The sequence below is a fragment of the Homo sapiens genome, chromosome 8 (genome assembly GCF_000001405.40).
Source record: "Homo sapiens chromosome 8, GRCh38.p14 Primary Assembly".
In the NCBI taxonomy this organism is placed as follows: Eukaryota; Metazoa; Chordata; class Mammalia; order Primates; family Hominidae; genus Homo; species Homo sapiens.
Genome location: NC_000008.11, coordinates 118,336,622 through 118,350,862, shown reverse-complemented (window position 1 = coordinate 118,350,862; position 14,241 = coordinate 118,336,622). Strand labels below are relative to the sequence as shown.

Sequence of the window (14,241 nt, the reverse complement as noted above, 5' to 3'; positions counted from 1 at the left end):
TTGGGTACCACATTTATTAAGAATCTACTATGCTATGGTCTATACACCAAAGCACGCATATTTTGTGAAGCTTGAATCCTGGACATGAGAATATCTGTTTTGAAGCAACCAAAATACGGTTAGCCTTTCTGTGTGGGCCTTATTGCATTATATCCCCAAATAAAGATATATAGGTAGTCATTCACTTAATAGACATTTGTCCAACACTGCTAAGCCTCAGGCAAATCCTAGGCACTGTGGTTGTCAAACAGACCTTTAAATGAGTATTAGTAATAATTAAGCTCTGTGGCAGGCACTTCGGTCAGCACTTCACATTCTTTTAACTCATTATTCTCAAAATACACACCAGGAAGTAGGTTCTTCTGTAATTTCCATTTTATAGAGAAGAAACAAGGCACCAAAACACAGGAATGATGAGGGCTGGAGCGTGACCTCAGGTCTACCTGACTATAAAACCCTTGGTTGTATTGATTTAGTTAACATTGCTATCAAGTTAGGATTGACATACACTGGTGCATGGTTAAACCATGACAAACCACAGCATGATGAGGTAAATGCTGTGATTGAAGCAGCTAGAAGAGGAAGTTCTGCCACTCCCTACTATGGGACCTTGGTCAAGTTCCTTTCTTTTCTTAGCCTTACTGACCTGTAAACTAAAACGAGTAAAGGACTGATCTTACAGGTGATTGTGTGGAGTAAGAGAGCTGGTAATAGGTGAAGGGCTCTCACAATGGTAGCTTTTGTTTTTGAGCCAGAGTCTCACTCTGTTGCTCAGGCTGAGTAACAGCTCACTTGCAGCCTTGACCTCCTGGGCTCAAGCGATCCTCCTACCCCAGCCCCTTGAGAAGCTGGGACTACAGGCATGTACCACCACGGCTGGCTAGCTTTTCAATTTTTTGTAGAGATGAGATCTCACTATGTTGCCCAAGCTGGCCTCAAACTCCTGGGCTCAAGCAATCCTCCCAGCTTAGCTTCCCAAGGTACTGGGATTACAGGTGTGAGGCACAGTGCCCAGCAGGTGGCTCTTGTTATTATCCACAAAGTGCTCTGTACTGTGAAAACAGGTACTGCCTGAGTCTCTGAGGACTCAGGGAGGAAACGAGCTTTGATGCATCTGATGTTGCTAGGTAAAGAGACAAAGGTTGGACATTCAATGTAGAAGGATCTATAAACAAAGGCTCTTCATTTATTCAATGCACATTTATTGAGCATGTACTATGTGCCAAGCACTGAGCTCAGTGTGTTAGTTAGGGGTAGATAAGCACAGCACCATGGAAGCCTGTAGAATGTTCTAGAGTCTGACTTTAAACAATAGAAGAACCTGAGGAAAGTTGCCAGCAGGAAATATCTGTGAGAATAGTTATGGACATGACAAACCTAAGATTGTCTCAAGGAGACAGCAAACCAATTTCCTCACCAAGCCCTTTCAAAGTTCTGTATTCAGCAACTGTTTTATCACACCTTGTGCACTGAGGGGTTACCCCTCCATACTTTTTACATCCACCTGTGTCTACACACTACAAAATAAATCACTGTCCTTCATTTTCCAGGATGACACAGCTGACTTTTCATATATCTCGATGAAGGATTATTCAGTTATACAGAACATTCTTCAACTGGAGATAGCTTGAGAAGGGGTAAACAAAAGGTGTTAAGGCATATTAAAAATTGGCTTATTCTAGTGGCAGTTTGTCATTTTTCAATTTGGCATCTTTCCCTGTTCTTTTTTCTACCATGAAGATCTGTATGACTCTTGATTCAGAGGGGATTTTCTTGTGAGGTACCTTTCTCCAAGCATATGGATAAAATTGCCAGGTTTAATTGAAGGCTGTTTAGAGTCTTGCTCTATTTACAGTCAAAAGCAGATCACTTCTGTTCTTGGCCTCGGTCCTAGACTCCCAGGAAATTAATGGTGCCTCTTGGCCTGTGACAGTCTGTGTTTACTTCCTGGAATTGGCTTCTGGCTTTGATTGGCCTTGAGTGTCAGGGCTTCCTCGGCCCAGGTGGGCCAACTCCACTTGGGACTGTTCTGGTTCCCTCAGGCTACCTTTGTCTGACCAGCTCATCCTATAGTCTCTGAAGCCACAGGATTGTTGTCTGTGCCTTCCTGTGATTCATAGCACGGAGCAAAGGATCAAAACAGCTTGAGCTGGAAATAACTTCATTTACTTTTTTAAAAAAGTAATAAGCGGGCCGGGTGCGGTGGCTCACGCCTGTAATCCCAGCACTTCAGGAGGCCGAGGTGGGCAGATCACGATGTCAGGAGATCAAGACCATCCTAGCGAACACGGTGAAACCCCGTCTCTACTAAAAACACAAAAAAATTAGCTGGGCGTGGTGGCAGGCGCCTGTAGTTCCAGCTACTCGGGAGGCTGAGGCAGGAGAATGGCACGAACCCCGGGGGGCGGAGCTTGCGGTGAGCGGACGTCACACCACTGCACTCCAGCCTAGGCAACAGAGCGATACTCCATCTCAAAAAAAAAAAGTAATAAGTGGTCAGGAGCAGTGGCTCACGCCCGTAACCCCAACACTTTGGGAGGCCGAGGCAGGTGGATCACTTGAGGCCAGCAGTTCGAGACCAGCCTGGGCAACATGGCAAAACCCTGTCTCTACAAAAATTTAGCCAGGCATGGTAGCACATACCTGTAGTGCCAGCTACTTGGGAGGCTGAGGTGGGAGGATCACTTGATATTGGGAGGCAGAGGCTGCAGTGAGCCGAGAGGGCACCGTTGCACTCCAGCCTGGGCCACAGATTGAGACCTTGTCTCAAAAAATATAAAAAATAAAAATGAGTAATAAACACAGTTGTAGCAGTTGATGTGTCCTAAGCACTGTTCTTGTTTTACAGGTAAGGAAACTGAGACACACTAAGGTTAAGGAGCTTGCTATACAGCTGATCACTGGCACAGCTGGGAAACTAGCCCCGGCAGTCAGATTCAGTGCGTGCAATGTTAACCCCTGACTGTGCCACTTTGCCATGCTTAGAGGTAGCCTAGTTCAACCTCTTATTAGATAAGTTATTCTATAAAAAAGCTCTTAACACACAGTAAGAGCTATGTAAGAGCTAGTTATTATTACTAGTGTGTTTGATGATGGTGAAAACTGAAGCCAGACAAGTGATGGAAGTTTATCCATTTAGTCCAGGATTTCACAAATTGTATTCTGTAGAACATTTGTATCAACAGGATGTTATAAGTGTTCTTTTTAAAAAATATTATAGTCAAATAGGTTTGGAAAATATACATTTAAAAAACAGCCTTTTATAGTGTAGTACTTCTCAAACCCTTTAATATGCTAATATGCATTATTAATCTTCAAAAAGCTGTAGTATCCAGACTTTTCCCACCTTTCCCCACATTTTACACATATTTGAGACCATTGTGGAGAAAGCAGTTAACATAGCAGGCCTTAGATTGTTTTCCTTAGAAGGTTGTGATTGCAAGGTTGGCCCCTGCTGGTGTCTAGAAAACTTGGGTTTTGGGAGGGTTCCCACACTCCCTAACCAGAATGGTTCACTGTGCCTGAACTGTTTGTATAAACAGTGTCATTTATGCTGAACACCTGCTTTCCTTCTGGGAGCCTAGAATTTTGGCACATGCTAGGAAGGATCCCCACTAAAAACCTTGGACACTGAGACTGGGCCCAGTGGCTCATGCCTGTAATTCCAGCACTTTGGTAGGCCAAGGCAGGAAGATCACTTGAGCCCAGGAGTTCAAGACCAGTCTGAGCTACACAGCGAGACCCTGTCTCTACAAAGTAGTTTTAGAAAATTAACCAGGCATGGTGGCACGTGCTTGTAGTCCCAGCTATTCAAGGTGGGCCATGGGGGTAAAGGGGTACTAAGGCAGGAGGAATCCCATGAGTCCGGGAATTCGGGGCTGCAGTGAGCTGTAACTGCACCACTGTACTCTAGCCTGAGCAGCAGAGCAAGACCCTGTCTTTGACAACAACAGCCACCTTGGCCACTGAGTCTCTGATGAGCTTGCCTCATAGACATTTCACATGTGTTGTCACAACTCCTTGTTAGAGGAATTCAACACATCCTGTATGACTCTACTAAAGGAAGGACTCTTGTTGGCTCATGCCTGATTTTCTCTGGACTCTGTCCCAGGTGCCTTTTCCCTTTGTTGATTTTGCTTTGTATCCTTTTGCTATAGTAAATCTTAGCCATGAATACAACTATATGCTGAGTCCTGTGAGTTCTCCTAGTGAATCGCAGAACCTGGGGTTGCTCTTAGAGACCCCCTGTCACATCCAGAAAATTATTTCCCTCTCAATGCCGTTTAACATCTCATGGGTCATTTGTTCTACAGCATGCAGCCCTGAGGAGCTGTTCAATCCCACAAGTTAGAGGCAGACATTAGCCCACATAATTATTCTGGGCTTTTGGTGAAAAATGTTAGGGTTCCGAAGGCTCATGTGGAATAGCACTTTCTTCCTGCCTGGGACACATAGATTGAATATATATTGAGAGAGCAAAACTGACTAGTACATTTCTACCACCTTTCTGGAATATTCAGTTGGGAAGGATAAGCCTGGAAACAGTAGCCTCAAGACATAACCATCCTTTATGTTCTTCCATTTTTAGATTTAGCTCTTTAGCCCATATTAAAATTATTTGTATAAATCTATATTACCATGTGTATGAAATTATAATAAAATTACATATATAATTTATATAGTTTTATAAAGTTTGTTTACTACATCTAATCAGAAAACCCTACTAAAGGGATTATATGGCTTTTGGGGCCTCATGCCGGAGCCTGTGACATCCCTCGATAATTATGATTTCCCTGAGTTCATTTTACAGAATAAACAGATGCACCAAGGGTCTCCAGAGAGCAAGTAGGCTGCTGCGGTGCAGGACAAGCCAAATGGAGACGGTGGTTAGCCCCAGCATCTGTTCTTTCAGCACCTTTCCTGGTACTCCTCCTCCTCCACATTCTTCATGGCTGACTTGTCTTCCTTTTATGTGTTTTCCAGATGCCAAAAGTTATATTTGCATATCCTCTACCATGGGTGGGGAACTGTGTCTCCTGCAGTCCAGCCGGCTCCACTTTACTCCCCTACTTTGTATGCCTAGACTAACCTACCCTGTCCTTTGACCTTGTTTTCACTGCTCTTGACCTGTTGCCAGTTAATACAATCTTACTCCAACAAGCCACCAGGGACTAGTTGGTTTAACTGGCTCCTTGCCCCATTGGCTAGTTGGACAGATAATTCTCTAAGCAGTTTGTCTTCCTCACTGTCTACACCCCACGCTTATGCTGCATCATGCCTTCATTTATGTCTTTCTTCTATATCTTTGTCCTTTTTGACCTCTCCAAATCCCAGCTCAGGTTCCACTCTGTCCTCTGAGAAATTGGCCCTCCTCATTGTACCACTACTAACCTTTCCAGACCTGTGCATTCTCATCAGTATCTCTGTCTCTACCATATACCTTAGCGCGTATCACTTTATTGCTTATACAGTCATGCATTGCTTAGTGACAGGAATATGTTCTGGGATATGCATCATTAGATAATTTCATTGTGTGAGCATCGCAGTGTGTGCTTACAGTAACCTAGATGGTATAGCCTATTACAACCCTAGGATATGTGGTATAATCTATTGCTATAGGCTGCAAACCTGTACAGCATGTCACTGTACTGAATACTATAGGTAATTTTAACACAATAGTTAGTATTTGTATATCAAAATATGTTTAAACCTAGAAAAGATAGAGTATAAATGCAGGATAAAAAATAAAAAATGGTACCCTCGTATAGGGCATTTACCGTGAATGAAACCTGCAAGACTGGAGGTTGCTCTGGGTGAGTCAGCGAGTCAGTGAGTGGTGAGTGAATGTGAAGACCTAAGACATTATTGAACACTGCTGTACACTTTATAAACACTGCACACTTAAACTACACTAAATATATAAAAATATAATAATAGTACTGTAATGTTACAATGGTGATGATGTTACTAGGTGATAAGAATATTTCAGCTCCATCATAATCTTATGGGACCACCATTGTATATTGATTCATTTTTTACTAAAATGTCATTATGTGGCATGTGACCGTACATCCAAGACCCAGTGATTGAGCTCCTGCTGAGAGCCTTTCATTCCACTAAAAAATGGAGATACCAAAGAGAATAAAACAAGTCCCTGCCCTCAAGGACTTTACTGTCTAGTCGAGCTATGACATGGTGTGTTATCCTATTCTTTATCACATGCTAGTGCTATTCTACATGAGAGCTGGGAACTCTTCTTCTGTTGTTTCCATTTCCAGAGTGATGAATGATCAATAGGAAACAATGGTTAAGAGCTCAGGAACAAACCCAGTTCATATCCCACTTCTGCAGTTTACTAGCCATGTTAGCCTCTATTTCCTCATCTTTAAACTGGGAATAGTTATATCTACCTCTTACAATGTTGCAAGGGCTGACTTTGATAAAGTTTATAAAGTGCTCAGCACTGGGCTAAGCATATACTAATCACATAAGGAGAAGGTAGCTGTAATTCTTACGAAGTTGGCCTACGACACAAGCCTTTGTGGTATTTTTCCCTGGAACTGTGACCTCAGAGCAGCCCTGGGAGATGTTTCCTAGTGGACAAGGTCCCAGCATTGTACTGTCAACCTTCCCACATTAGTTCAACCTGAGCAGGATAGGGGGAGTTAAAACAGAATGCAACAGTGAGTCAGAAAGTCAACAATGAATGTAAAGACCTACAGGGCTTCCTCTGCACAAGGGCATGGATTTCCACATCCATGTTTGGATTGAAGTTTGCTGTCCCTCGCTTGCTTCATTTCCTGGCAGTCACTAGAGGCAGAATGGAAGCTGGAAGTCAGGAAGGAATTTCCATGTAATGACCATGTACTATGTGCCATATATATATGCACATTCTCAGTCTTTACAACATCCCTGCCAAGAAGATATTCTTATTCCCACTTCACAAATCAGATAGCTGAAACTTAGAGGTTAAGTAACTTAACGGAAGTTGCACAGCTAACCCAATGCAGATCCAAAGCTTGTGTCCATTATATTGAGTGCCCCTCAGTAAATCAAATCCATGGAAGTCCTGACCTAGTCCGGCCTGATCTGTTTGCATTTCCCCCTCTACACAATACACTCCTTGGCCCAAGGGGTCTGTGGTAGAGATGGAAACTTCAGTGAGCTTGCAACTCTATTGTTCTAATACACCTCTTCAGGGCCAGGATGAGGTAAGGCAAGCAAAGTGCTTGGCACAAAATGTAAAAAGGCACTTACTCTTAAGTTTATGTATGTACAAGATCACAAATTTGCTCACCCTAATCCCAACCCAGCCCCTCCTGTTGATTGTCCTGAGATGTGACTGCTGGGATACTCTAGAGGAAACCACAAAGATCTTCATCACCATGTTAACCGAAATAGGGCTGGGACTGGCTTGCAGGCTGTTTGATACTACTCCCCTGTCAATTTTTGCATGTTGCATTTCTGGTTAGCATCTGTCCCCAAAACGATTCCCCCCCTCCAAAACTACCTTTTATTATTTTTTCCACCAGATTTTCTCTCCAAAACTATCATGTAGCCACACAAGCAGGAAGAGAAAGAGATCCCTGAGATCCTCCATCAAGGCTGGAAAATTGGTTATAACCAATTTGCTAACTCCACTCTGTTGGAAGTGGCTGAGTAGAGGAGAACTGGGGAAAGATTGGTGCACGGGGTGAGCAGGACCTGCCTCCTGCATGGGATGTGGGGAATTGCACTTGCCATTGTTGGAGCCCAGGCCAACCCTTCTCATCTTACAGATGAGGAAACTGAGGTCTTGAGAGGGGAAATGACTTCTGTGAGCTCACTTAGTTGGCCAATACTAAATTAGAGCTAGAACCCTATTTCCTACTCCTAGCACTTTTTCCACACTGGGTCAGGGAAATAGGGTCCACCATATACATTCTTATCTTGACTGCAATGCTACCACCTCCACCACCAACTCCTCAAAGGAGGCACCATCCTGACTATAGCTGTGCCCATTTTTCTGTCTGTCAAAAGCCTGTTGATGTAATTGAATACCAGCAATGCAGTACATGGCCCACCTATATCAGAAACTTCTAGAGTAATTAATTGAAAATGAAGGTTCTTGGGACATCTCCTAGTTCTTCTGAGTCAGAAGGTGATTCTATCACTAGCATTTGAGAACTACTAATCTGGATTTGGGACTGTTTATATCAGTGACTTCTTATTCAATTTGTGGGATTCTTTTTGTTTTTCTTTCCTTTGGGGCATTAAGTCAGTACTTCCATCGTCATCTTACATTTCTAGTTCTCAGTCAAGTTCAACAAGAAATGAAACTCACTATATTCTTTATCGGACTGTAATTTGGCCAAGATAGAAATGGGAAAAGGGAAATTTCAAAGTAGGAGATATTCGATTTTCTCTTGTGGGCATGATAGAGTTATGTAGAAAGATCCCTTATCTACGATTGGTGGGTTTCAAGTCTCTTATCAAAGACAGTGAAACACTTTTAAGATTGTTATTTTAAGATGTAGGCAAAATGTTTCCAAATATATGTCAGTAGTCTCTTAAAACTTTTTTTTTTTTTGAGACAAAGTCTTGCTCTGTCGCCCAGGCTGGTGTGCAGTGTGGCATGATCTCGACTCACTGCAACCCCCACTTCCTGGGTTCAAATGACTCTCATGCCTCAGCCTCCTGAGTAGCTGGGATTACAGATGCCTGCCACCAAGCCTGGCTAATTTTTTTGTATTTTTAGTAGAGACGGGGTTTTGCCATGTTGGCCGGGCTGGTCTCGAACTCCTGACCTCAGGTGATCTGCCCACCTTGGCCTCCCAAAGTGCTGGGATTACAGGCATAAGCCACCACACCAGGCCTCTTAAAACTTTTTCATAGGAATTTTGTTTAGTGCTTTAAGCAGAGAGTACACAATGGTGGGCATGGGCCATTTCTGTGAATACGCATGTCTGCCACACAGACGGTTTCAGAAAATTTGAATTAGTTGCCAATATTTAAAACCAGATTTCAACAATTTAAAATATAAATGTTTATCTTCTGTTTTAAAAATTTAAACTATTTTGACACTGGGCCTGTCATATACTGCCTGTTTGTGCCCTCCCGAAATTGATATGTCAAAACACTAATCCCAATCTGATGGCATTTGGAGGTGTGGCTTTTGGGAAGTGATTGGATCAGTGCCCTTATAAAAGCGGTCCCAGAGAGCTCTCTCACTTGCTTTCCACTACGCAAAGACACAAGGAGAGGTTGGCATCTGCAGCCGGCACCAGAAACTGACCACGCTGGCATCCTGATCCCAGACATTCAGCCTCTAGAACCATGAGAGATAAATTTCTGTGGTTTATAAACTACCCAGTCTGTCTGTGGTGCAGCCTGAACAGATTCAGACTGGGCCACAGCCACACAATGCAATAATCTGGTGCACAGAGGTGGTCTCTTAGACTATGGCATATTAAAGATGTTTGTAAATTATTTAACATTTCTTTACTTGAGAGGTGGGGTCTAGGTATGCTCCTCTTGGATCTGGAAAGGCTTAGTGACTGCTCTTATCAGTGAAATACGAGAGGTGAGGCTAAGCTAGGCATACACTGGCTCATTTTCTATCTGTTGGGACATGTGTTCAGGGCAGTGAGGCACCATGTCACAAGGCCAGCTACCCTGAGACCACCATGCTGTGAGAAGACCAAGCCACATGAAGAGGCCCTAGAGGAAGAAACACCATGTGGAGAAAGACAGAAAGGTCAAGGAGCGCTAAGGTGCCAGATACACAAATGAAGAAGCCATTCGTTTTTCATCCCCATGAGGTGATGTCATAAGGATCAGAAATAAGCCACCCAGCTGAGCCCTTCAGGAATGCCTCACCCACAAAAGTGTGAACAAAGTAAAAATGATTGTTTTAAGCCACAAATTTAGAATAGACAACTGAAACAAGAGAATGCCTTTCCAGTGCGCTCTGTTCTGATCCCCATTCCTTCCTCTGGCTTTACTTCAATTGTTTTACATCCTGGCTCCTATAGGAATTTGGGTCATAATGTTTATTTAAATTTCAGTCTGGAGAACCTTGAATTGTGTATACTTTTGGAAATTAAAATTTTTTTGAGACAGAGTCTCACTCTGTCGCCCAGGCTGGAGCGCAGTGACAAAATCTTGGCTCACTGCAACCTCCACCTCCCGGGTTCAAGTGATTCTCCTGCCTCAGCCTCCCAAGCAGCTGGAACTATAGCCATGCACCACTACACCCAGCTAATTTTTGTATTTTTAGTGAAGACAGGGTTTCGCCATATTGGCCAGGCTGGTTTCCAGCTCCTGGCCTCAAGTGATCCACCCACCTTGGCCTCCCAAAGTGCTGGGATTACAGGCATGAGCCACTGCGCCTGGCAGGGAATTAAAATATTAAAAATAATAATATACATATATACATATATGTATGAGTATATACATGACAAAATTAAGTTGTAAGGGCAAGAATGATACAGACAGCAAATAAAATGTCTACTTGAAATACTTTACCTCCATGGGCCCCCTTGGCAAGGTAAAGAGAGCATAAGGTCAAGAATTTGTCACCCCTGGTAACTGGTTTTCTTATCTATATAAAGGCAGCTCCCATTCATCTTTGACATGGATGAGTCTATGAATAAGACAGCTCAGCTTTTGTGTTTTTCTTTTGGGTGTATATTTGTGTATCTTTTAACGTTCTAGAAATTTATTCCATGGCAATACAGCCTGTGGGGCAAATGAAATGTCTACTTCTTTGTTGAAGCCTGTGCCTTATTCATCTTGTTCCTCCAGCTCTCAGTAAATGTTTGTTGAATAAATGAATGAACAAAGGAATGTGTGTTAGTCACCGAGGGTACAAAGACAAATGAGACACGATCCCTGCCCTTGAGGAGCTCACAGTCTATTGAACACAGGCAGCAAATTAAATGCCGGTCATGCCGCCTGGGTAGCACATTCTTTTATTCAGAAACACCATTTCATCTGTGCTTGGCCTCTGTTCACACCCATACCCAGATGAAACTACAAGATGTGTGAAAACGTGCCCTGGAGGAGCCCTGACAGGGGCAAGGGGCTGCAAACCACCTGCTCTGAAGAGACAGCCTCTCAGTGTTGAAGTGAGTGCATAGGGAGGAGAAAGAGAGGACTGACCCATCGCAGCTGCAGGAACAGAGACAAAATTACTCAGAATCACCCTCAGGGACCCATCAGAAAAGCAAGAACAAAATCACTGCCGCATCATTCCATCAGGCTGTGCTTGCACAGACCACAGAAACGCAGCGAGGCCACGTGATCAGCACCACTCCTCAGAGCTGCGGCGGCAGCCAAAAGATTTAGGATAGACACCAGAGTTTTGCTTGATTTTTTAACAGAGATATGAGGAAGGCCCTGATTGTAATCAGCCTGCTCCCCTTCCACCTACCATCCCCATGCATTTCGAGGAATTGTCTTTTTTCTTTCTATAGTAGGTTTAGCAAAGTGTCAGCTTGTGCATTTTTCTTTCTCTCTCTCTTTCCTTTTCTTTCTTTTCTCTTTATTTTTTAAGACAGGGTCTCACTCTGTGGCTCAGGCTGGAGTGCAGTGGCACAATCAGAGCTCACTACAGCCCTCACCTCCCCAGCCTCAAGTGATCCTACTGCCTCAGACTCCCAAGTAGCTGGGACTACAGGCATGCACTACCAAACCTGGCTAATTTTTTATTTTCTGTAGAGACAGGGTCTCCCTATGTTGCCCAGGCTGGTCTCAAACTCCTGGCTGGACTCAAACAATCCTCACACCTCAGCCTCCCAAAATGCTGGGACTACAGGTGTGAGCCACTGTGCCTGGCCCCCTTTCTTTCTTTATGAGGTTGTTAGTGAAACAGGACAGAAGAGAAGCAAAGATCTTTGTTTAATCTTAGAGATAAGTGGCGGCTCATTCTTGATTCTCCCAGTGAGCTAGAGTATCGATGTCAATATATTGATATGATCAACATTTTACGGAGTGTTGATTAACATTCATTTGGGTTTTGGAAGATTTCTATTTGTTTATGTTAAATAACAAAAACATGAGGTTGTCAGGAAATTGTTAGGTAGGGATGCCTTTGCTGCCCTGTTAATTTCCAAGCAACAGGGCTGTGTTCTAGCCCAGGGAGGCTGAGCTGTAGTTAGAAATGACTTTCTGTGTGCAAAACAGAACTTGGTGAAATACTTAACCAGTAGTTAATTTGCTGCCTTTGCTCAATAGATTCTGAATGCCTTCAAGTAGAAATCCCAAAAGAAAAGGTAAAAACAACAGCAATGGCAACCAAACTCCTCTCTTCCTCATAGTCTAAAAGTATATCAGCATCTTAACATTTTGAGGAGAAAACATTATCTTTATCAGCGTTCATTTTATTCTTTAACACATTGTTTTTTAGTCCGTTTCCACATTGGAATTCAAAAAGTAAACATAAACTCACTGTCTTGGTAATTAGACCAAAGAATAAGAATTGATATCAAATATTATTAAAATTAAATAGCTGCAGAAACTATTAATAAAAAGTGGTTATTAACTTGCACATCTTATGTACTGACTGCATACTTCATCCAGTTCTAGCTGAAGAGATCCACTTTCAAAAAGGGAAGAATTTATGTCTTTGGGAAAACATTACTTGCTAATCTTTGTTTCTGTCCTTTTAAGTTTCACAACCTTTCTTGTATCTGTAGAGTAGTTATACATTACGCTTAGCTGTTGAGTGTTTTCTGTGTGATCTGCTATCCTGATGATTTCAGTACATTTAAATCTAGAATCTCATGGCCCAAGACTTCTGTCTTTAGATAGGTGCTACATTGTTAAGTGAGTAAAAGCTGTACAGTAGTCTCCCCTTATCTGTAGGGGATACCTTCCAAGACCCCTGGTGGAAGTCTTAAACTGGCATCCTATGTATAGTATGCATTAATTTCTTTTTGTTTCTTCACAATTTAATGGATAGAAGATTTGTTCTTACCACAGATCTTAGCAACCTCAGCATACATTTTTTTTGTTGTTTCCTTATTAAGTTGAGAACTTTCACTATTTCACTTAAAGGAATCAATGTACGGCTTCTCTTTGGCATATCCTGATTGCTAGCATCACTACTCTTGAGCTTTGGATCAATTACTAAGTAAAATAAGAGTTACTTTAATAGAAACACTGCAATATCAGGACAGTCCATCTGAGAAGCAAGACGGTGACTAAGGAGGGAGTGTCTACAGTGTGGATACACGCTGAGTTTATGTCCCTCTTTGGGACAGCATGTGGGAGACCATGAGATTTTATCATGTCCTTTAGAATGGTATGTAACTTAAAACTTATGAATCGTTTATTTTTGGAATTTTTCATGTGATATTTTTAGGCTGAGGTTGACCCTAGGTAACTAAAACGGCAGAAAGCAAAAATGTGGATAAGGGGGCACTACTGTATTGCCCACCCTGAAGGACATGACTAGAAGGTGAAATAAAGAAAGCATGACAAGATAGCATGCTTGGTCTCCCTGCTTTGGAGGGGTCTGAATCAATCAATACCTTAAAACCCAGGGCATGTACAGGGACAGTGATGTGCAAAAGCTGAGCTGGCGTGTGACATGGATTACTGGTTCCAAGCCAGCAATTACTAGGACCCGCTTTGTTTGCATAATCTTGTCCCGTAATCTGGAGCACTGAAAATTTCTCTTTTTTTTTTATTTCTCTCTTCCTTTTTTTTTCTTTTTTTAATTATACTTTAAGTTCTAGGGTACATGTGCACAACATGCAGGTTTGTTACGTATGTATGCATGTGCCATGTTGGTGTGCTGCACCCATTAACTCATCATTTACATTAGGTATATTTCCTAATGCTATCCCTCCCCCCTTCTCCCATTCCACTACAGGACCCAGTGTGTGATGTTCCCCACCCTGTGTCCAAGTGCTCTCATTGTTCAATTCCTACCTATGAATGAGAACATGCAGTGTTTGGTTTTCTGTCCTTGCAATAGTTTGCTCAGAATGATGGTTTCCAGCTTCATCCATGTCCCTACAAAGGACATGAACTCATCCTTTTTGTGGCTGCATAGTATTCCATGGTGTGTATGTGCCACATTTTCTTAATCCAGTCTATCATTGATGGACATTTGAGTTGGTTCCAAGTCTTTGCTAATATGAATAGTGCCACAGTAATTAGAATGGCAATCATTAAAAAGTCAGGAAACAACAGGTGCTGGAGAGGATGTGGAGAAGTAGGAACACTTTTACACTGTTGGTGGGACTGTAAACT

General features: G+C 42.6%; 1 protein-coding gene and 1 long non-coding RNA gene across 11 annotated transcripts in view; one reads left to right on the top strand and one right to left on the bottom strand.

Moving 5' to 3' along the window:
- The window catches only part of SAMD12 (sterile alpha motif domain containing 12), a 490,139-nt gene that overhangs the window by 271,101 nt on the left and 204,797 nt on the right, over positions 1–14,241 (top strand). Inside the window, exon 5 of one of the 9 annotated variants that reach the window (NM_001363274.2) lies at positions 9,621–10,121. The exons of the other annotated variants lie outside the window; for them this stretch is intronic. Coding sequence (NP_001350203.1) covers positions 9,621–9,628 — 8 coding nt within the window. The 3' untranslated portion in view covers positions 9,629–10,121. Of the gene's footprint in view, positions 1–9,620; positions 10,122–14,241 lie in introns of those variants that run through there. 9 annotated transcript variants of the gene reach the window in all.
- Positions 1–14,241, bottom strand: part of LOC105375724 (uncharacterized) — a 141,651-nt gene that overhangs the window by 72,171 nt on the left and 55,239 nt on the right. The window lies entirely within an intron of this gene.